Genomic DNA, 23923 nt, shown 5'->3' with positions numbered 1-23923 from the left:
AACAGAATATATATTATTCTCAGCACCACAACATATTTATTCTAAAATTGACCACATAATTGGAAGTAAAACACTCCTCAGCAAATGCAAAAGAATGGAAATCTTAACAGTCTCTCAGAACACAGTGCAATCAAATTAGAAATCAGGATTAAGAATCTCACTCAAAACTGCACAATTACATGAAAACTGAACTACCTGCTCCTGAATGACTGCTGGGTAAATAATGAAATTAAGGCAGAAATAAAGAAGTTATTTGAAACCAATGAGAACAAAGACACAACGTACCAGAATCTCTGGGACACATTTAAAGTAGCGTCTAGAGGGAAATTTTTAGCACTAAATGCCCACAACAGAAAGCAGGAAAGACGTAAAATAGACACCCTAACATCATAATTAAAAGAACTAGAGAAGCAAGAGCAAACAAATTCGAAAGCTAGCAGAAGACAGGAAATAACTAAGATCAGAGCAGAACTGATGGAGATAGAGATACGAAAAACCCTTCAAAAAATCAATGAATCCAGGAGCTGGTTTTTTGAAAAGATCAACAAAATAGAATAGCCAGAAGAATAAAGAAGAAAAGAGAGAAGAATCAAATAGATGCAATAAAAAATGATAAAGGGGCTATCACTACTGATCCCACAGAAATACAAACTACCATCAGATAATACTATAAACACCTCTATGCAAATAAACTAGAAAATCTAGAAGAAATGGATAGATTCTTGGACACATACACCCTCCCAAGTCTAAAGCAGGAAGAAGTCAAATCCCTGAATAGACCAATAACAAATTCTGAAATTGAGGCAGTAATAGCCTACCAACCAAAAAAGGTCTAGGACCAGACGGATTCACAGCCAGATACTACCAGAGGTACAAAGAGGAGCTGATACCATTCCCTCTGAAACTATTCCAAGTAATAGAAAAAGAGGGAATCCTCTCTAACACATTTTATGAGGCCAGCATCGTCCTGATACCAAAACCTTGCAGGGACACAACAAAAAAAGAAAATTTCAGGCCAATATCCCTGAAGAACATCTATGCAAAAATCCTCAATAAAATACTGTCAAACCAAATCCAGCAGCACATCAAAAAGCTTATCCACCACAATCAAGTTGGCTTCATCCCTGGGATGCAAGGCTGGTTCAATATAGGCAAATCAATAAACATAATCCATCACATACACAGAACCAATGAAAAAAACCACATGAATATCTCAATAGGTGCAGAAAAGGCCTTTGACAAAATTAAACACCGCTTCATGCTAAAAACTCTCAAAAAAACTAGGTATTGATGGAATGTATCTCAAAATAATAAGAGCTATTTATGACAAACTCACAGCCAATATACTGAATGGGCAAAAACTGGAAGCATTCCCTTTGAAAATCAGCACAAGACAAGGATGCCCTCTCTTACCACTCCTATTCAACATGATATTGGAAGTTCTGGCCAGGGCATTCAGGCAACAGAAAGAAATAAAGGGTGTTCAGATAGGAAAAGAGGAAGTCAAATTGTCTCTGTTTGCAGATGACATGATTGTATATATAGAAAACTCCATCGTATCAGCCCAAAATCTCCTAAAGCTGATAAGCAACTTCAGAAAAGTCTCAGGATACAAAATCATTGTGCAAAAATCACAACCATTCCTATACACCAATAATAGACAAACAGAGAGCCAAATCATGAGTGAACTCCCATTCACAATTTCTACAAACAAAATTAAATACCTTGAAATACAGCTTACACAGGATGTGAAGGACCTCTTCAAGGAGAACTACAAAACACTGCTCAAGGAAATAAGAGAGGACACACACAAATGGAAAAACATTCCATGCTTATGGATAGGAAGAATCAGTATCATGAAAATGGGCATACTGCAAAGTAATTTATAGATTCAATGCTATCCCCATCAAGTTACCATTAACATCCTTCACAGAATTAGAAAAAACTACTTTAAATTTCATATGGAACCAAAAAAGAGCCCAGATAGCCAAGACAATTCTAAGCAAAAAGAACAAAGCTGGAGGCATCACACTACCTGACTTCAAACTATACTACAATGCTACAGTAACCAAAACAGCATAGTACTGGTACCAAAACAGATATATAGATCAATGGAATAGAACAGAGGCCTCAGAAATAACACCACACGTCTACAACCATCTGATCTTTGGCAGACCTGACAAAAACAAGCAATGGGAAATTGATTCCCTATTTAATAAATGGTGTTGGGAAAACTGGCTAGCCATATGCAGAAAACTGAAACTGGACCCTCTCCTTACACCGTATACAAAAATTAATTCAAGATGGATTAAAGACTTAAATGTAAGACCTAAAACCATAAAAACCCTAGAAGAAAACCTAGACAATACCATTGAGGACATAGGCGTGGGCAAAGACTTCATGACTAAAACACCAAAAGCAATGGCAACAAGAGCCAAAATTGACAAATGGGATCTAATTAAACTAAAGAGCTTCTGCACAGCAAAAGAAACTATCATCAGAGTGAACAGGTAACCTACAGAATGAGATAAAATTTTTGCAATCTATCCATCTGACATAGGTTTAATATCCAGAATCTACAAAGAACTTAAACAAATTTACAAGAAAAAAACAACCCCATCAAAAAGTGGGTGAAGGATATGAACAGACGCTTCTCAAAAGAAGACATTTATGTGGCCAACAAACATACGAAAAAAAGCTCATCATCGCTGGTCATTAGAGAAATGCAAATCAAAACCACAATGAGATACCACCTCCCACCATTTAGAATGGCGAGCATTAAAAAGTCAGGAAACAACAGATGCTGGAGAGGATGTGGAGAAATAAGAACGATTTTATACTGTTGGCGGGAGTGTAAATTGGTTCAACCATTGTGGAAGACAGTGTGGTGATTCCTCAAGAATCTAGAACCAGAAATACCATTTGACCCAGCAATCCCATTACTAGGAATATACCCAAAGGATTATAAATCATTCTACTATAAGGACACTTGCATATGTATGTTTTTTGTGGCACTATTCACAATAGCAAAGACTTGGAATGAACCTAAATGCCCATCAATGATAGACTGGATAAGGAAAATGTGGTACATATACACCATGGAATACTATGCAGCCATAAAAAAGGATGAGTTCATGTCCTTTGCTGGGACATGGATGATGGTGGAAACCATCATTCTCAGCAAACTAACACAAGAACAGAAAACCAAACATTGCATGTTCTCACTCATAAGTGGGACAGTGAGAACACATGGACACAGGGAAGGGAACATCTCACACCAGGGCCTGTTGGAGGGTGGTGGGGTAGGGGAGAGATAACATTAGCAGAAATACCTTATGTAGATGATGGGTTGATGGGTGCAGCAAACCACCATGGCACATGTATACCTATGTAACAAACCTGCATGTTCTGCAAGTGTACCCCAGAACTTAAAGTATAATAAAAAAAATTGTTGACTATAGTCACCCTGTTGTACTATCAAATACTCGATCTTATTCATTCTAATTACATTTTTGTATGCATTATTTGAAGAAATTTGTCCACTCTGCCAATCTCTGCCATTTTTCTTATTTATTTAATCCTAATTTCTCTTTTAAGACCAAATCCAGATGAAAACTTGGCTTATAATCTTTTAACAGTTCCCTTGTTTGTTGTGAATCACATTTCAACCCAAAGGATTCCCTTTAGCATTCCTTGCAGAGTAGATCTAGTAAAAACATACTCCCTTAGCTTGTGTTCATCTGGGAATGTCCTCATTATTGACAGGCATGTTTCCCATGCATAGAATTCTCAGCTGACAGCTTTTTCTTTCAGCACTTTGAATATATCAATCCAGTGCCTTCTAACCTCCAAGGTTTCTGCTGATGATCTTTTTGAGGTTCTTTTGTATATGACAAATTGCTTCTCCTTTGCATTTGATTCTCTGTCATTTTTTTTTTCTGACTGTTTGCTTATAACATGACTTGGTGGATGTATTTGAGTTTATTTTGAGTTTATTGTGCTTCCTGGATGTGTAGATTTGTGTCTTTCACCAAATTTAGGGAGTTTAATTTTGGCTTTTCGGCAAATACTCTATTTCCTTGTCTCTCTTGTATTCTTCTACATTTCCCATAATGTTTTTGCTGGTCAGCTTGATGGTGTCCCATAGGTCCTTTGGGTTCCATTTATTTTTCTTAATTCTTTTTTGCTCTGATTCTCAAACTTGATAATTTCAATAGTCTTATACTTAAATTCACAGATTATTTTTGGCATTCCCAAATCTGCTGTTGAACTCCTCTGGTGAATTCATTATTTCAATTATGGTACTTTTTAGTTTTAGAATGTCTATTTGGTGCTTTTTTATAATTTCAATCTCTTTATTGATATTTGGTTTATAAGTTGTTTCATGGTTCTCTCTGGTGCTCGTATGTTTTCTTTTAGCTTTTGAGCATATTTAAGACAGTTGATTTAAAGTCTTTGTTTAAGAAGTGTTATGTTTGGTTTGCCTCTGGGATATATCTGTCAATTTCTATTTTTCCTTTGATTGGACAACACTTCCAGTTTCTTTGTATGCTTTGTGATTTTCTTGTTCCTGTTGAAACTGGGTATTTTAATATTATAATTTAGTAACTTTAGAAATCACTTTCTCATTCTTCTCTAGACTTTGCTGTTCTTAATTACTGAAGTCTTCAGTATCCATTTGTTTTTATGAATTTTTCAAACTTTTTTTTGCAGTCTTATGTGTGGTCACTGAATTCTCTCTCTTTAGCTTGTGTTTAGGTAGTGTTTTAACAGGCATTTTTCCTGGAAGGCCAGGTTTCAAACAACCACCACCAAACAAAAAAGAAAAAGGAAAAGAAAAAGAAAAAACAAAAAACTAAAACAAAAATACAACAAAACCCCTTTCTTATTATTTGCAAATTGGCTCTGTCCTGGGGCACTTTTTAAGCACTTAGCCTGGTCCATTTAGAACTTCATCTTAGTCAACTGGACTGAGGGGAGGAGCCAAGATGGCTGAATAGGAACAGCTCCGGTCTACAGCTCCCAGTGTGAGCAAGGCAGAAGATGGGTGATTTCTGCATTTCCATCTGAGGTACCGGGTTCATCTCACTAGGGAGTGCCAGACAGTGGGCTCAGGTCAGTGGGTGCATACACCGTGCGTGAGCCGAAGCAGGGCGAGGCATTGCCTCACTTGGGAAGCACAAGGGGTCAGGGAGTTCCCTTTCCTAGTCAAAGAAAGGGGTGGCAGATGGCACCTGGAAAATCGGGTCACTCCCAACCGAATACTGCGCTTTTCCGACGGGCTTAAAACACTGAGCACCAGGAGACTGTATCCCACGCCTGGCTCGGAGGGTCCTATGCCCACGGAGTCTCACTGATTGCTAGCACAGCGGTCTGAGATCAAACTGCAAGGTGGCAGCGAGGCTGGGGGAGGGGTGCCCACCATTTCCCAGGCTTGCTTAGGTAAACAAAGCAGCTGGGAAGCTCTAACTGGGTGGAGCCCACCACAGCTCAAGGAGGCCTGCCTGCCTCTGTAGGCTTCACCTCTGGGGCAGGGCACAGACAAAAAGACAGCAGTAACATCTGCAGACTTAAATGTCCCTGTCTGACAGCTTTGAAGAGAGCAGTGGTTCTCCCAGCATGCAGCTGGAGATCTGAGAACGGGCAGACTGCCTCCTCAAGTGGGTCCCTGACCCCTGAGCAGCCTAACTGGGAGGCACCCCCCAGCAGGGGCAGACTGACACCTCACACGGCCAGGTACTCCAACAGACCTGCAGATGAGGGTCCTGTCTGTTAGAAGAAAAACTAACAAACAGAAAGGACATCCACACCAAAAACCCATCTGTACATCACCATCATCAAAGACCAAAAGTAGATAAAACCACAAAGATGGGGAAAAAACAGAGCAGAAAAACTGGAAACTCTAAAAAGCAGAGCGCCTCTCCTCCTCCAAAGGAATGCAGTTCCTCACCAGCAATGGAACAAAGCTGGACGGAGAATGACTTTGACGAGCTGAGAGAAGAAGGCTTCACACGATCAAATTACTCCAAGCTATGGGAGGACATTCAAACCAAAGGCAAAGAAGTTGAAAACTTTTAAAAAATTAAGAAGAATGTATAACTAGAATAACCAATACAGAGAAGTGCTTAAAGGAGCTGATGGAGCTGGAAACCAAGCCTGGAGAACTACGTGAAGAATGCAGAAGCCTCAGGAGCCGATGCGATCAACTGGAAGAAAGCGTATCAGCAATGGAAGATGAAATGAATGAAATGAAGCGAGAAGGGAAGTTTAGAGAAAAAAGAATAAAAAGAAATGAGCAAAGCCTCCAAGAAATATGGGACTATGTGAAAAGACCAAATCTACGTCTGACTGGTGTACCTGAAAGTGATGGGGAGAATGGAACCAAGTTGGAAAACACTCTGCAGGATATTATCCAGGAGAACTTCCCCAATCTAGCAAGGCAGGCCAACATTCAGATTCAGGAAATACAGAGAACGCCACAAAGATACTCCTCGAGAAGAGCAACTCCAAGACACATAATTGTCAGATTCACCAAAGTTGAAATGAAGGAAAAAATGTTAAGGGCAGCCAGAGAGAAAGGTCAGGTTACCCTCAAAGGGAAGCCCATCAGACTAACAGCGGATCTCTCGGCAGAAACCCTACAAGCTAGAAGAGAGTGGGGGCCAATATTCAACATTCTTAAAGAAAATAATTTTCAACCCAGAATTTCATATCCAGCCAAACTAAACTTCATAAGTGAAGGAGAAATAAAATACTTTACAGACAAGCAAATGCTCAGAGATTTTGTCACCACCAGGCCTGCCCTAAAAGAGCTCCTGAAGGAAGTGCTAAACATGGAAAGGAACAACCGGTACCAGCCACTGCAAAATCATGCCAAAATGTAAAGACCATTGAGACTAAGAAGAAACTGCATCAACTAACGAGCAAAATAACCAGCTAACATCATAATGACAGGATCAAATTCACACATAACAATATTAACTTTAAATGTAAATGGACTAAATGCTCCAATTAAAAGACACAGACTGGCAAATTGGATAAAGAGTCAAGACCCATCAGTGTGCTGTATTCAGGAAACCCATCTCACATGCAGAGACACACATAGGCTCAAAATAAAAGGATGGAGGAAGATCTACCAAGCAAATGAAAAGCAAAAAAAGACGGGTTGCAATCCTAGTCTCGGATCAAACAGACTTTAAACCAACAAAGATCAAAAGAGACAAAGAAGGCCATTACATAATGGTAAAGGGATCAATTCAACAAGAAGAGCTAACTATCCTAAATATATATGCACCCAATACAGGAGCACCCAGATTCATAAAGCAAGTCCTGATTGACCTACAAAGAGACTTAGACTCCCAAACATTAATAATGGGAGACTTTAACACCCCACTGTCAACATTAGACAGATCAACGAGACAGAAAGTCAACAAGGATACCCAGGAATTGAACTCAGCTCTGCACCAAGTGGACCTAATACACATCTACAGAACTCTCCACCCCAAATCAACAGAATATACATTTTTTTCAGCACCACACCACACCTATTCCAAAATTGACCACATACTTGGAAGTAAAGCTCTCCTCAGCAAGCGTAAAAGAACAGAAATTATAACAGACTATCTCTCAGACCACAGTGCAATCAAACTAGAACTCAGGGTTAAGAATCCCACTCAAAACCGCTCAACTACATGGAAACTGAACAACCTGCCCCTGAATGATTACTGGGTACATAACAAAATGAAGGCAGAAAGAAAGATGTTCTTTGAAACCAATGAGAACAAAGACACAACATACCAGAATCTCTGGGATGCATTCAAAGCAGTGTGTAGAGGGAAATTTATAGCACTACATGCCCACAAGAGAAAGCAGGAAAGATCCAAAATTGACACCCTAACATCACAATTAAAAGAACTAGGAAAGCAAGAGCAAACACATTCAAAAGCTAGCAGAAGGCAAGAAATAACTAAAATCAGAGCAGAACTGAAGGAAATAGAGACACAAAAAACCCTTCAAAAAATTAATGAATCCAGGAACTGGTTTTTTGAAAGGATCAACAAAATTGATAGACCGCTAGCAAGACTAATAAAGAAAAAAAGAGAGAAGAATCAAATAGATGCAATAAAAAATGATAAAGGGGATATCACCACCAATCCCACAGAAATACAAACTACCATCAGAGAATACTACAAACACCTCTACGCAAATAAACTAGAAAATCTAGAAGAAATGGATAAATTCCTCTACACATACACCCTCCCAAGACTAAACCAGGAAGAAGTTGAATCTCTGAATAGGCCAATAACGAGCTGAAATTGCGGCAATAATTAATACCTTACCAACCAAAAAGAGTCCAGGACCAGGTGGACTCACAGCTGAATTCTACCAGGGGTACAAGGAAGAACTGTTACCATTCCTTCTGAAACTATTCCAATCAATAGAAAAAGAGGGAATCCTCCCTAACTCACTTTATGAGGCCAGCATCATCCTGATACCAAAGCCGGGCAGAGACACAACCAAAAAAGAGAATTTTAGACCAATATCCTTGATGAACATTGATGCAAAAATCCTCAATAAAATACTGGCAAAACGAATCCAGCAGCACATCAAAAAGCTTATCCACCATGATCAAGTGGGCTTCATCCCTGGGATGCAAGGCTGGTTCAATATATGCAAATCAATAAATGTAATCCAGCATATAAACAGAACCAAAGACAAAAACCACATGATTATCTCAATAGATGCAGAAAAGGCCTTTGACGAAATTCAACAATGCTTCATGCTAAAAACTCTCAATAAATTAGGTATTGATGGAACATATCTCAAAATAATAAGAGCTATCTATGACAAACCCACAGCCAATATCATACTGAATGGGCAAAAACTGGAAGCATTCCCTTTGAAAATCAGCACAAGACAAGGATGCCCTCTCTCACCACTCCTATTCAACATAGTGTTGGAAGTTCTGGCCAGGGCAATTAGGCAGGAGAAGGAAATAAAGTGTATTCAATTAGGAAAAGAGGAAGTCAAATTGTCCCTGTTTGCAGATGACATGATTGTATATCCAGAAAACCCGATCGTCGCAGCCCAAAATCTTAAGCTGATAAGCAACTTCAGCAAAGTCTCAGGATACAAAATCAATGTACAAAAATCACAAGCATTCTTATACATCAACAACAGACAAACAGAGAGCCAAATCATGAGTGAACTCCCATTCACAATTGCTTCAAAGAGAACAAAATACCTAGGAATCCAACTTACAAGGGATGTGAAGGACCTCTTCAAGGAGAACTACAAACCACTGCTCAGTGAAATAAAACAGGATACAAACAAATGGAAGAACATTCCATGCTCATGGGTAGGAAGAATCAATATCATGAAAATGGCCATACTGCCCAAGGTAATTTACAGATTCAATGCCATCCCCATCAAGCTACCAATGACTTTCTTCACAGAATTGGAAAAACTACTTTAAAGTTCATATGGAACCAAAAAAGAGCCCGCATCGCCAAGTCAATCCTAAGCCAAAAGAACAAAGCTGGAGGCATCACACTACCTGACTTCAAACTATACTACAAGGCTACAGTAACCAAAACAGCATGGTACTGGTACCAAAACAGAGATATAGATCAACGGAACAGAACAGAGCTCTCAGGAATATCGCTGCATATCTACAACTATCTGATCTTTGAAAAACCTGAGAAAAATAAGCAATGGGGAAAGGATTCCCTATTTAATAAATGGTGCTGGGAAAACTGGCTAGCCGTATGTAGTAAGCTGAAACTGGATCCCTTCCTTACACCTTATACAAAAATCAATTCAAGATGGATTAAAGACTTAAACGTTAGACCTAAAACCATAAAAACCCTAGAAGAAAACCTAGGCATTACCATTCAGGACATAGGCATGGGCAAGGACTTCATGTCTAAAACACCAAAAGCAATGGCAACAAAAGCCAAAATTGACAAATGGGATCTAATTAAACTAAAGAGTTTCTGCACAGCAAAAGAAACTACCATCAGAGTGAACAGGCAACCTGCAAAATGGGAGAAAATTTTCGCAACCTAGTTATCTGACAAAGGGTTAATATCCAGATTCTACAATGAACTCAAACAAATTTACAAGAAAAAAAACAAACAACCCTATCAAAATGTGGGTGAAGGACATGAACAGACACTTCTCAAAAGAAGACATTTATGCAGCCAAAAAACACATGAAAAAATGCTCACCATCAGTGGCCATCAGAGAAATGCAAATCAAAACCACAGTGAGTTACCATCTCACACCAGTTAGAATGGCAATCATTAAAAAGTCAGGAAACGACAGGTGCTGGAGAGGATGTGGAGAAATAGGAACACTTTTATATTGTTGGTGGGACTGTAAACTAGTTCAACCATTGTGGAAGTCAGTGTGGCAATTCCTCAGGGATCTACAACTAGAAATACCATTTGACCCAGCCATCCCATTACTGGGTATATACCAAAAGGATTATAAATCATGCTGCTATAAAGACACATGCACACGTATGTTTATTGCGGCATTATTCACAATAGCAAAGACTTGGAACCAACCCAAATGTCCAACAATGATAGACTGCATTAAGAAAATGTGGCCCATATACACCATGGAATACTATGCAGCCATAAAAAATAATGAGTTCATGTCCTTTGTAGGGACATGGATGAAATTGGAAATCATCATTCTCAGTAAACTATCGCAAGAACAAAAAACCAAACACCGCATATTCTCACTCATAGGTGGGAATTGAACAATGAGAACACATGGACACAGGAAGGGGAACATCACACTCTGGGGCCTGTTGTGGGTTGGGGGGAGGGTTGAGGGATAGCATTGGGAGATATACCTAATGCTAGATGATGAGTTAGTGGGTGCAGTGCACCAGCATGGCACATGTATACATATGTAACTAATCTGCACATTGTGCACATGTTCCCTAAACTTAAAGTATAATAATAATAATAATAATAATAATAAAAAGAACTTCATCTTAGTCTTCACTACTTGCTTGAACCGAGCATAGAGATTAGCCAGAAGTAAAACCTTAGGGTCTTTTCAGGTCTTTGCCAAGCTTCTCCTGTCCTGGGTTTGTGCTTGCCATTCTGAATTCCCTAACCCATTTATACCTAGTGTTCCATTATTGGAACGCTAAGCCTGTGGGGGTTATTTATATCTTACTGCTTAAGGTCATTTCAAGGTCTGATTGCAAAAATTAATAAAATTGTAACCTCAGGCATAAATGGGCTATAACGTACACAGTGCTCTTGATTGCCCTCATTCCCCCCCCCAAAAGTCTCTCTTTAGCTTTTTTTTCTTCTAGAATTCATTGTAGAATGGAATTTATCTCCTAGATTTATTTATATTTTACAAACTATTATTAACTCTTCTTCAAGTTTTTATTTTATGATAATTTGTGCAATTTTATACATTTAGATTTGTACAATTCTGCATTTTACATCCATTTTGTATTCTTTCTTTCTTTCTTTTTCTTTTTCTTTTTTCTTTTTTTTTTGACAGAGTTTCACTCTTTTTGCCCAGGCTGGAGTACAGTGGTGCGATCTTGGCTCACTGCAACATCTGCCTCCTGGATTTTCAAGTGATTCTCCTGTCTTAGCCTCCTGAGTAGCTGGGATTACAGGTACCTGCCAGCACGCCTGGCTAATTTTTGTATTTTTAGTAAAGAAGGGGTTTCACCATGTTGACCAGGCTGGTCTTGAACTCCTAACCTCGTGAGCCTCCCGCCTTGGCCTACCAAAGGGCTGGGATTACAGGTGTGAGCCACCACACCTGGCCTATTTTATTTTCTAGTAGTGTTCACAGAGTATTTTTTTTGTTTTCACAGTTAGGCAAATATTAACATTGATTTTGGAACGCTGTTTTTTTCTTCTCTGACATATATATATTTTTGAGATGGAGTCTCACCCTGTTACCCAGGCTGGAGTTCAGTGGTACGATCTTGGCTCACTGCAACCTCCACCTCCCGGATTCAAGAGGTTCTCCTGCCTCAGCCTCCTGAGTAGCTGGGATTACAGGCATCCACTGCCATGCATGGCTATTTTTTGTATTTTTAGTAGAGACGGGGTTTCACCATGTTGGCCAGGCTGGTCTTGAACTCCAGACCTTAGGTCTCTCCCAAGCTTCAGAATCATCTCTGTAACCTTCCACTGGACATGCTCACTTCCATGACATGAAGACATTCCAAGAGCTGCATGGCCTGCATGTGTCTTATTGTCACTCTGTACTCTCACCTCCCCCAACACCCAACCTCCTGGTTCTAATTTCCAGACCTTCTAAGGCCCCTATACAGGCCCTCTGGAAGTAGCCCTTCTTCTCTTCCTTTGCTTAGTGAATTCCCTCTTCCACATCTCCACTGCTGCCCCGTAATATAGACAATCTACCTCTAACGCTGCTCTCCAGCACAGTCTCCACTGTACTTTGGTGGCATTGCTTCCTGAGTGAAAACTGAATTATGTTACAGGGATTCAGGTGTGTATTTTCAGTTCACCATCAACTTCTGCTATTTGCATCAATGACTTGGAGTTGGGAGAGCAGGGAGCCTATGGCCTAAAGGAAGTGTGCAAGATTATTGTGTTTATGTCATATACTGCCAGTCCTTTAGGGCATGGGAGGAAACTATCAGCATGCCTATTTATATTTTTATCTAAAAAATGAAAACAAAATTAAGCTTTCCTTATATGTAGATTGTATTTTATTTACTTTATAAATATAAACTAAACTAGTAGTTGCTAAACATTTTTATGGATTAGAAGAGTGATAAATATTTGGAGAACACTAACAGGATTAAAGCCAAAAGTATTTCCTAGTCTCCCTCATCTCCCATGCCTCTGCAACCTTTATCTCATCACAGGTAAGACATGCTGTTATCCTGTTAAGCAATTCCATTGACTTGCCACATATTTTTTCAGGTTTTTAACGTTTTCTTAAGTTTTTGTTATATGTTTGCAAAGGAACTAAAGTTTTATCACTTCAGTGAAGTCTAATATGTTGACACACTCTCACATGAATTTGCCCAGAACACTTTTATGATCCATCTGTGTTGCACATATCTGTGGTGTGAGTCCTTTAAGTCCTGTGGTAGATATGTCTCTGTATGTATGTTTCCTTATGAGAAGGTATGTTCCTCTCTTGTAAGGAAGACTCTTGTATTCAAATTGGAATACTCAGAAACTAAGAAAGCTCTAGGCACATGTAGGTACTAAATACTTTTGCATTAAGTAATTAATTCACCAACAGGATATTTCTGCTATGATCTTTTACCCACAATGTGTAACATAAAACAACATATATCATGGAGGCCCTTTATAACATTTTCTATTTAATTTTCAACAACAAAAATTGTAAGAATTAGTCCCTAAACATCTTGTCTCACATCAGCTGATTCTTATTGCATCAGACTGAGCAGAACTGTGATTTTCCAGGGATCAGTGTCATTTAGGGATGTGACTATGGGCTTCACTCAAGAGGAGTGGCATCATCTGGACCCTGCTCAGAGGACCCTGTAGAGGAATGTGATGCTGGAGAACTACAGCCACCTTGTCTCAGTAGGTAGGTAGGAATTGTTTCCCATGTAGAAGGCCAGAATGCATGTCCTTTCTTATCGATAGAAACTTGTGGAAATTTTGTAAAATATAACATTTAGCTTTGAAATTTAGAGGTCAGAGACAATGTATCCCTTTTGGATACCAGAAAGAATATTTTCCTCTGCCCCACGACAGGATTAAATGAGGTGTGTGTGTGTGTGTGTGTGTGTGTGTACTGTTTGGGGTATACTGTCTTCCTCCTTCAGGGAAACCCACCCAGTTTGTCAGAAGTAATATAATTCTCATTCACAGGGTATTGCATCATTCACAGGGTATTGCATTCCTAAACCAGAAGTGATCCTCAAATTGGAGACAGGCAAGGAGCCATGGATATTAGAGGAAAAATTTCGAAGCCAGAGTCATCTGGGTGAGTTAGTGCCAGATGGAATTTAAAGGTAGGCAGATCACAAAGGGTAAGTTCAGATAATAAGACCATTGAAATGTTCTTCAGGAATCATATTTTAGAGGCTCTAGACCTTTGGAAGTAACATGTTGACATGACCCAAATATCCAGTGGCTCTTAATCACCCAGCATCTCCCAGTATCACTTCCATACACACATCTTTTTTTTTAATTGTGATATAAATTATATAGTTAAGTCACAGCTTAATAAAATTAAATATATATGTGTGTATATATATATATGAGACACTCATGTATCCATCATTGAGATGAATATATAGAGTGTTTTTCAGCACCCCTGGAAAGCTCCCTCGTGTGGTCTTCCCATTCAAGAGCATCCCTCCTTCTATAAAATATTAAATATATTTTTCTATACATGCTTTTTTGAGTTGCTCATTCGTTAGCATTCTACCATATTCACATTTTTTTACAGAATTATTTTAAAATAGCCTGGGCCCAGTGGTTCATGCCTGTAATCCCAGCAATTTGGGAGGCTGAGGTGGGAGAATCTCTTGAGCCCAGGAATTTGAGACCAGCTTGGTCAACACGGGGAGACCCTATCTCTATCAAAACTTAAAAAATTAGCCAGGCATGGTGGCACACACATGCGGTCCCATGCCTGGCTGATTTTTGTGATCTCAGCTACTGGGGAGCTGAGCTGAGAGTCTTGCTTTAACCCAGGAAGAGGCTGCAGTGAGCTGTGTTTGTGCCATTGCACTGCAGCCTGGGTGACAGAGCAAGATTCTGTCTCTAAAATATAAAAAGCATTTAAAATTAAAATTAAACATTCAAACAGTAATGATTTCAGCGTGAAGCCTGAAAAAATTTGTGTTTGAAAATGCTCTCTGGGTAATTCTGATAAACATTATTTATTAGGTACCATGATATAAATATCTATGTAGGGCACTGAGAGAAAATCATAGGTAAAGTAATGGCTGCCAGGAACATAGTTGGTGAACGAAAACAGAACTGCATGAAATATTTTAAAATTCAGTGTTTAACAAAGAATATTGTTATAGCAATCCAGCTGATGTTTGTGCTTAAATGAATTATACAAATGGTCCTTTCATGTTTTTTAGTAAATGAATCTGGAAGTGGTGGGAAAATTTGGGAAGGCAACTTTTTAAAAACATTGTTAGACTGTAAGCTGACAATGAAAAAAAAATCAGTATAAAATTATGATGGGAATGAGCAATTTATGAGGGACAAACAGATGAACTTACCTAGAGTGAATTACATTCATTATAGACTTGTAAAAGAATGGCTTGGTTCTAATCTGAATCTAAACGTAAAGATATGTCTACTTCAGTGATACCTTGTTAAAAAAAAAGTGTTTGTTCTTGGAACATTGGACTCAGTATAATATAGTACAGTTGATGGAATAAAGGGCAAATCCCATAGCCGGAATAGAACCATAAGCCTGATCCTGTGGCAACGATGACTTGTTCACTCATTGATTTCACTCTTATTGTTGCATACTTTTATTCCTAGTGAATCAGAGCTAGAAAAACAATTAAGCCAGATGCAGTGGCTCATGTCTGTAATCCTAGCCCTTTTGAAGGCCAATGTGGGTGAATTGCTTGAGGCCAGGAGTTTGAGACCAGCCTGGTTAACATTGCAAAATCCTGTCTCTACTAAAAACATAAAAACTAGCTGAGCATGGTGGTGCATGCCTGTAGTCCCAGCTACTTGGGAGGTTGAGGCATGAGAATCGCTTGAACCCAGGAAGCGGAGATTGCAGAGAGCTGAGATCATGCCACTACACTCCAGCCTGGGTGACAGAGGAAGACTCTGTCTCAAAAACAACAACAACACACACAATTGGAGCCTGGATTATAGGACTATCTATGAATTAGAACTTTTAGAAATTTGATTTGTTGCTGCTGTGTTGAGTTGAAAAGAGGTATAAGACTGGAAGTGTGCACATTGTTGTCATAATGTAGGTGTGAGGAGATAATGGCTTAAACTGAGCCTTCAAACATAATGCTAACTTCAGTTCTCTTACATATCCTTGTCAACTAATCTTTCTTGTCACTCTGTATTTCAGAATTAATTAATACCAGTAGAAACTATTCAAGAATGAAGTTCAATGAGTTTAACAAAGGTGGAAAATGTTTCTGTGATGAAAGCATGAAATAATTCATTTTGAAGAGGAACCTTCTGAATATAATAACAATGGGAACAGCTTCTGGCTGAATGAAGACCTCATTTGGCATCAGAAGATTAAAAATTGGGAGCAACCTTTTGAATACAATGAATGTGGGAAAGCTTTCCCTGAGAATTCACTCTTCCTTGTACATAAGAGAGCTTACACAGGACAGAAAACATGCAAATATACTGAACATGGGAAAACCTGTTATATGTCATTTTTTATTACTCATCAGCAAACACATCCAAGAGAGAACCACTATGAATGTAATGAATGTGGAGAAAGTATCTTTGAGGAATCCATTCTCTTTGAACATCAGAATGTTTACCCATTCAGCCAGAATTTAAATCCCACTCTAATTCAGAGAACCCACTCAATTAGCAATATTATTGAATATAATGAATGTGGAACCTTTTTCAGTGAAAAATTAGCCCTTCATTTACAACAGAGAACACATCCAGGGGAAAAACCTTATGAATGTCATGAATGTGGAAAAACCTTCACCCAGAAGTCAGCCCACACAAGACATCAGAGAACACACACAGGGAAAACCCTATGAATGTCACGGATGTGGGAAGACCTTCTATAAGAATTCAGACCTCATTAGAAATCAAAGAATTCACACAGGGGAGAGACCTTACAGATGTCATGAATGGAGAAATCCTTCAGTGAAAAGTCATCCCTTACTCAAAATCAGAGAACACACGTGGGGAGAAATCATGAATGTCATGAATGTGGGAAAACCTCGTTTAAGTCAGTTCTAACTGTGCATCAGAAAACACACAGGGGAGAAGCCCTATGAATGCTATGCATGTGGCAACACCTTTCTCAGAAAATCCGACCTCATTAAACATCAGAGAATTCACACAGGAGAAAAACCTTATGAATGTAATGAATGTGGGAAGTCATTCTCCGAGAAGTCAACCCTTACTAAACATCTAAGAACACACAGATGGGAAATCTTATGCATGTATTCAATGTGGAAAATTTTTCTGCTGCTACTACAGTTTCACAGAACATCTGAGAAGACACACAGGGGAGAAACCTTTTGGATGTAATGAATGTGGGAAAACCTTCCATCAGAAGTTGGCCCTAATTGTTCACCAGAGAACTCATATAAGACAGAAACCCTATGGATGTAATGAATGTGGAAAATCATTCTGTGTGAAGTCAAAACTCATTGCACATCATAGAACATACACAGGGGAGAAACCCTATGAATGTAATGTTTGTGGAAAATTATTATTAAGTCAAAACTAACTGTACATCACAGAACACACTTGAGGTGAAACCCTATAAATGTAGTAAGTGAGGGAAATTACTCTGGGTGAAGTCAGAACTTTGTAGAGCAGAGAACATAAAGGGTGAGAGAAATCTGTTAATATAATGATAATGAGAACACCTTTGCCCTGAAGTCAGTTCTCACAGTAGAGAAGAGAACTTAAAGAGGGAAAAAACAATATGAAGATATGGAATGCAGGAAAACATTATTCTGGGATTTGGGCCATAGATTATGTTTAAGAACTAAAAGTGAAAAACACTTATTGGTGAATGAATATAGGAAACATTTTGCTCAATGCCACACCTCAGTAAACATCAGAGAGTTCACACAGGGTGAAACCTGGCTCAACATCCGTAAGTTGAGAAGGGATGCATTTTTTTGCTACTACTACAGTTTCACAGAATATCTGAGAAGACACACGGGAGAAACTTTTTGGGTGTAATGAATGTGGGAAAACCTTTCACCAGAAGTGGGCCCTAATTGTTCACCACAGAACTCATATAAGACAGAAACCCTATGGATGTAATGAATGTGGAAAATCATTCTGTGTGAAGTCAAGAGGCCACAGAAAATGCACAAACTATAGGAAAGCATTTACTATGAGGTTATATTTTATAGAGTATATGTAATAAGAAGTACCTTCTTAGTGAACATCAGATAGTGAGAAAGTATTTTTAACTGTATCCAATGTGTGGACACTTTAGGTTAAAATCTAAATTTAATATAGACCAGAGGTGTTGAATTGCAGGATATCTAGCAATTTAAGAACATGTAGAGAAAAGGTTTTCTTTTTTTTTTTTTTTTTTTTTTTTGAGACAGAGTCTCGCTCTGCCACCCAGGCTGGAATGCAGTGGCATGATCTCGGCTCACTGCAAGCTCTGCCTCCTGGGTTCATACCATTCTCCTTCCTCAGCCTCCCAAGTAGCTGGGACTACAGGCGCCTGCCACCACACCTGACTAATTTTTTGTATTTTTAGTGGAGACAGGGTTTCACCATGGTCTCGATCTCCTGACGTCGTGATCTGCCCGCCTCGGCCTCCTAAAGTGCTGGGATTACAGGTGTGAGCCACCACGCAAAAAAAGGTTTTTATTGAGAAATAGCATTTTACTTTGCTTATATCCAGTTCAGTTCATTGTCAAGACTGCTGTTTTCTGACACTTGAAAAGATGCCACGCTGGAGCCAATGACTATAACTAGGTCAAAGATGTATTGCTTAGCCATATGTAAAATAAGGGAAGAGTTTTTAGCAAAGGGAACCATAAGCAAGAGTGCTTTTGTATGTCCAGGAAGAAAGAGACCCTTAATCTGGGGCCATAGGACAGGAGCCCACCAGCAGGATTTTTGAATAATCCTGGGGCAGACTAATTTTGGGTGACCCGTCTCAGAATGGTGGATCAAGGGGGCAAGTCAACTTGCCTTGTATGCAGCTTAAGAGGATTAGTAGAAGAGAGTGGGTCCAGATTTCTGGTGGTTTCTGCCCTAGCAGATGTCCAACACATAAGCCAGGACATTCTGCTGTGAGTGACTTATTGTACCCAACTCTATTTCTCTCCAAAGTGAAATACATTTTTCATAGGTGATATAACTTTTTAAAATGTATATAGAGATATAACTTAAATATGGGGCTTTGAAAAAGCACAAATAGGCTGAGCATGGTGGCTTGCACCTGTAATCCCAGTACTTTGGGAGGTTGAGGTGGGCAAGACCTGAGGTCAGGAGTTCCAGACCAGCCTGGCCAACATGATGAAACCCTGTCTCTACTAAAAATACAAAAATTAGCCAGGCATGATTGCGCACATCTGTAGTCCCGGCTACTAGAGAGGCTGAGGTGGGAGGATCACTTGAACCTGGGAGTTGGAGGTTTCATTGAGCTGAGATCATGCCACTGCACTCCAGCCTGAGTGACAGACACTTTAAAAAAAAAATAGATTTTGCTATTGGGTAAGGTATAGTAGTCGGCAGCAGAATGGACTGATTGAGGACAACTATAAAATTACAAAAAATATTTAAATGCAACTTATTGCTATAGAAGCAAAGAGAACTAAAGGAGCAAAATTCTAGAGAGTGGTAAATCCCAGAAAGCACATGCACAGAATGCAGCTCTTTGCTCTGGGGACCCTTTCCACTTCTGGCTATAGGGAAGAACCTGAATACTGAACTTGGTTCAGGCAGAGGGCCATACCCTGGGGGTCAGGGGAAGGCATGGGGGGGACCAGAAACCAGGAGAACAATCAAGACTGCAATTAAAAAAAAATGGATACATTAGGGGCTTCAAACACATAATTTCTCAAGAAATTTCCAGATATCTCATGCTGCATAGGGCAGGAGGCTGAAAAGCTAATTTGAGAAGAAAACAAGTAGGATTTTTGTTTTGTTTTGCATTTTGCAATATGGAGGAGAAATGATTAGACCTTAGGAAGTGCCAGTGGGTTGGTCCTTTCATGAACATGCCATCAGTAAAAGCCCTGGAAACAAGGTCATACCAGAGATTCATTGTACCTTGTCACAACTGCAAACAATATCTGAGTGGAATATTCAAAAACTTGCTTAGAAAGAAAACTCTAGGACAGATGGCTCCACTGAAGTTATTCCAAATATTTAATAAATAAAGCATACCAGGCTTTTATAAACTCTTCTAGAAGAAAAAAGTTGGAACTTTTCCAATTCAGTTTTTCAGGCCAGTGCAACCTTGATACCAAAACCAATAAAACAAACAAACAAACAAAAAACATAAAGCTATAGACCAAAGTCTCATAGATTTAGATGCAAAATCCTAAAATTGAAAAAAAAAGTCTAGTCATATCCATAAACTGTATCATCACCAAGAGATGTTTATTAGGGCAATCAAAAGATGATTTATTATTTTTTAAAAAATCAATGTGGCCTTCCCTTCCTCTTTCTTTTGATTCCCCTCTTTGAGTTTTTATGTGTCTCTTTTGCCTTCCCTTCCCAGAGTGGAGGAGTTAGACCTGCATTGTGGGATGAGAGGAGTTGTGGCTATGTGTCTGCTGGCACCAAGAGGGCTGAGGGTGAGGTGTGGAAGGGACAGGGGGAGGAGATGGGCAGCATTGTTAAGAGATTGGTACCACTGAGCAAATATGTTGAGAATGATGATGGCAAGGTTTCTCCCTGTTAGAGAAGGTATTTGTAGAAATAGGAATGAGGAGAGCTAGAAAACCTGGAGTGTGGGATTAGAATAGAACTCATATCTTTTAAATACATAGGAACAATAGAGAAATTGTTGGGTGTGCCCATATACATATATTTTGTGATTCATTCTACCGAGAGGACATAAATGCAGTCACAGCTCAGTAACAGTAAACACACCAACTGCCAAGTTATTATTTCCTAAATACTATCCACAAAAAAGGGGACCAGGGATGATTCCTAGTCGGAGATTGGGAGAAAAAGAAGATGAGCCTGAATCATTTCATGTACCTAACAGAAAGAAAATACTCTGGCTGGGCTCAGTGGCTCATGTTTGTAATTCTAGCATGTTAGGAGGTCGAGGTGGGTGTGTTGCTTGAGCCCAGGAGTTTGAGACCAGCCCAGGCAACATGGCAAAACTGTCTCTACAAAAAATATAAAAATTAGCCAGGCGTGGTGGCATGCACCTGTCATCCGAGATACTCAGGAGGCAGAGAGGTGGGAGGATCACTTGAGCCTGGGAGATTGAGACTGCATCGAGCTGTGATCATGCCACTGCACTCCAGCCTGGAAGACAGAGTGAGACCCTGTCTCAGGAAAAAAGAAAAAAAAAAGATGTTGCTCAGCAAGTTAATGGACAAACTGTGCAATATCCAGAAAACTTTAACATTCTTCAAAGAAATAGAAAACACAATCCTAAAATTTATATGGAAACCACAAAAGACCTAGAATAGTCAGAGTTATCCTGAGCAAAAGGAATCAAACTGGAGGGATCATATTACCTGACTTCAAATTATTCTACAGAGCTACAGTAACCAAAACAGCATGATACTGGCATAAAAACAGACACATAGGAACAGAATAGACAACCCAGAAACAAATTCATACATCTACAGTGAACTCACTTTTGACAAAGTTATGAAGAACATACATTGGGGTAAAGATAGTGTCTTTAATAACTGGTGCTGGGAAAGCTGGATATCCGTATGCAGAAGAATGAAACTAGACCCCTATCTCTTAACATATACAAAAATCAAAATTAATTAAAAAGTTAAATCTAAGACCTCAAACTATGAAACAGCTAAAATAAAACATTGGGGAATCTCTCCAGGACATTGGAGTGGGCAAAGATTTTTTGTGTAATACCTGACAAACAGGCAACCAAAGCAAAAATGGACAAGTGGGATCACATCAAGTTAAAAATCTGTATTGCAAAGGAAACAACAAAGTGAAGAGACAACCCATAGAATGGGAAAGAATATTTGCAAACTATCCATCTGTATTAGGCCATTCTTGAAGTACTATAAAGAAATACGTGAGACTGGGTAATTTATAAAGAAGAGGTTTAATTGGCTCACAGTTTTGCAGGCTGTACAGGAAGCATGGTGCTAACATCTGATCAGCTTGTAGGGAGGCGTCAGGAAGCTTCCAACCATTGTGGAAGGCAAAAGGGGAATAAGTATCTCACATGGCAGGAGCAAGGGCAAAGAGAGGGGGAGGGAGGTGCCACACACTTAACCAGATCTTGTGAGTACTCAGGTCTTGTGAGGGTTGCTTGAGGTCAGGGATACCCCATTTACCCTGATGTGTTCATATACATTTCATGACTGTATCAAAATATCTCATGTACCCCCATAAACATATACACCTATTTGTACCCACAAAAATTTAAAAATAATTTCAATGTTTGAAGACTCATTATTAAAATAATAGCAGTTTCTATAAATTTAATATTTCAATAAAACTCCCAATATTTATTCTTAACACTGGAAAAACTTTTCCAAAATGCATATGGCAGAAATATGGGCGTTGATGAAAGGACAGCATCAATTAATGAGGGATCCTCCCCCTTGACGAAAATACCTTCCACCAAGACCCACCTTTAATGCTGAGGATTACATCTCAAAATGAGATTTGGGCAGGGACAAATATCCAAACTATATCACTAGCTATATCAGGAGCTGTAACTATAACTATATCAGGAACTATAACAATTCTATAGAAAAAAAATTAATCTGAAAACTGGACAAAAATCTGAATAGGCATTTCTCGAAAGAAGACATACAAATGGCAAACAGGCATATGAAAATGTACTCAACATCATTGATCCATTAGAGAAATGCAAATCAAAACTACAATGAGATATCATCTCACCCCAGTTAAAATATCTTCTGTCCAAAAGACAGGTAACAACAAATGCTGAAGAGGATGTGGAGAAAAGGGAACCCTCGTGCACTGTGGAAGTGTATATTAGTACAACCACTATGGAGAACAGTTTGTAGGTACCTCAAAAACTAAAAATAGAGTTACCATACAATCCAGCAATTCCACTGGTAGGTATATACCCCAAAGAAAGGAAATCAGTATATTGAAGATAAATCTGCACCATGTTTACTGTAGCACTACTCGCAATAGCCAAGATTTGGAAGCAATCCAAGTGTCCATCAGCAGATGAATGGATAAATAAAATATGGTACGTATACACAACGGAGTACTATTCAGCCATAAAAAAGAATGAGATCCTGTCATTTGCAACATTATAGATGGAACTACAGATCATTAAGTGAAATAAGCCAGGCACAGCAAGACAGACATCACATGTTCTGACTTATTTATTGGAGCTAAAGATGAAAACAACTGAACTTCTAGAGATAGAGTAGAAGAATGTTTACCAGAGGCTGGGAAAGGTAGTGGGGGCATGATGAGGGGGAATTGGGGAATGTTAATGGGCACAAAAAGGTAGAATGACTAAGACCTAGTATTTGATAGCACAACAAGGTTACTACAGTCAATAATAATTGTACATTTTTAAGGTATAATTGAATTGTTTGTAACACAAAGGATAAATGCTTGAGGTTATGGATATCCCATTTACCCTGATGTGATTATTAGACATTGCAAACCTGTATCAATATATCATGTACCCCATAGATGTATACACCTAGTATGTACCCAAAAAAATTAAAAATAAAGTAAAAATTTCAATGATTAGGAAGACCATTATTAATATGTTTTCTTTAAATGTTTCTGTAAATTTGATACAATTTCAATAAAGCTTCCAATATTTATTCTTAGTACTGGAAAAAGTTTTCCAAAATGTGTATGGCAGAAATAGGGCCAAAATAGGCAAGAAAACTATTTTTGAGATGTCAGTTTTCCTCAAATTGTTCTATTAATTAAACACCACCTGAATTAAAATTTGACAGTGGATTATAAATTTATGTGAATATTCAAAACAATTGTGAATACATGAGTCCAGAACCACAGCCATACCCCATGAGGTGCTTGGGACATTTTCAGCAAATGTGCCAATGAAATCCAAG

At 38.8% G+C, this 23923-nt stretch overlaps 1 pseudogene across 1 annotated transcript in view; it reads left to right on the top strand.

Annotated features, from left to right (window-relative positions):
- Nucleotides 1-23686, top strand: part of ZNF37BP (zinc finger protein 37B, pseudogene) — a 39361-nt pseudogene extending 15675 nt beyond the window's left edge. The window contains exons 6-8 of the transcript NR_026777.2: nt 13458-13584; nt 13891-14014; nt 16069-23686. The product of NR_026777.2 is annotated as a zinc finger protein 37B, pseudogene (transcript). The remainder of the gene's footprint in view (nt 1-13457; nt 13585-13890; nt 14015-16068) is intronic.
- Nucleotides 23687-23923: the final 237 nt, after the last annotated feature.

This window comes from Homo sapiens, chromosome 10 (assembly GCF_000001405.40).
Source record: "Homo sapiens chromosome 10, GRCh38.p14 Primary Assembly".
In the NCBI taxonomy this organism is placed as follows: Eukaryota; Metazoa; Chordata; class Mammalia; order Primates; family Hominidae; genus Homo; species Homo sapiens.
The sequence above is the reverse complement of the archived record's forward strand: the minus strand, read 5'-3'. Positions and strand labels throughout refer to the sequence as shown.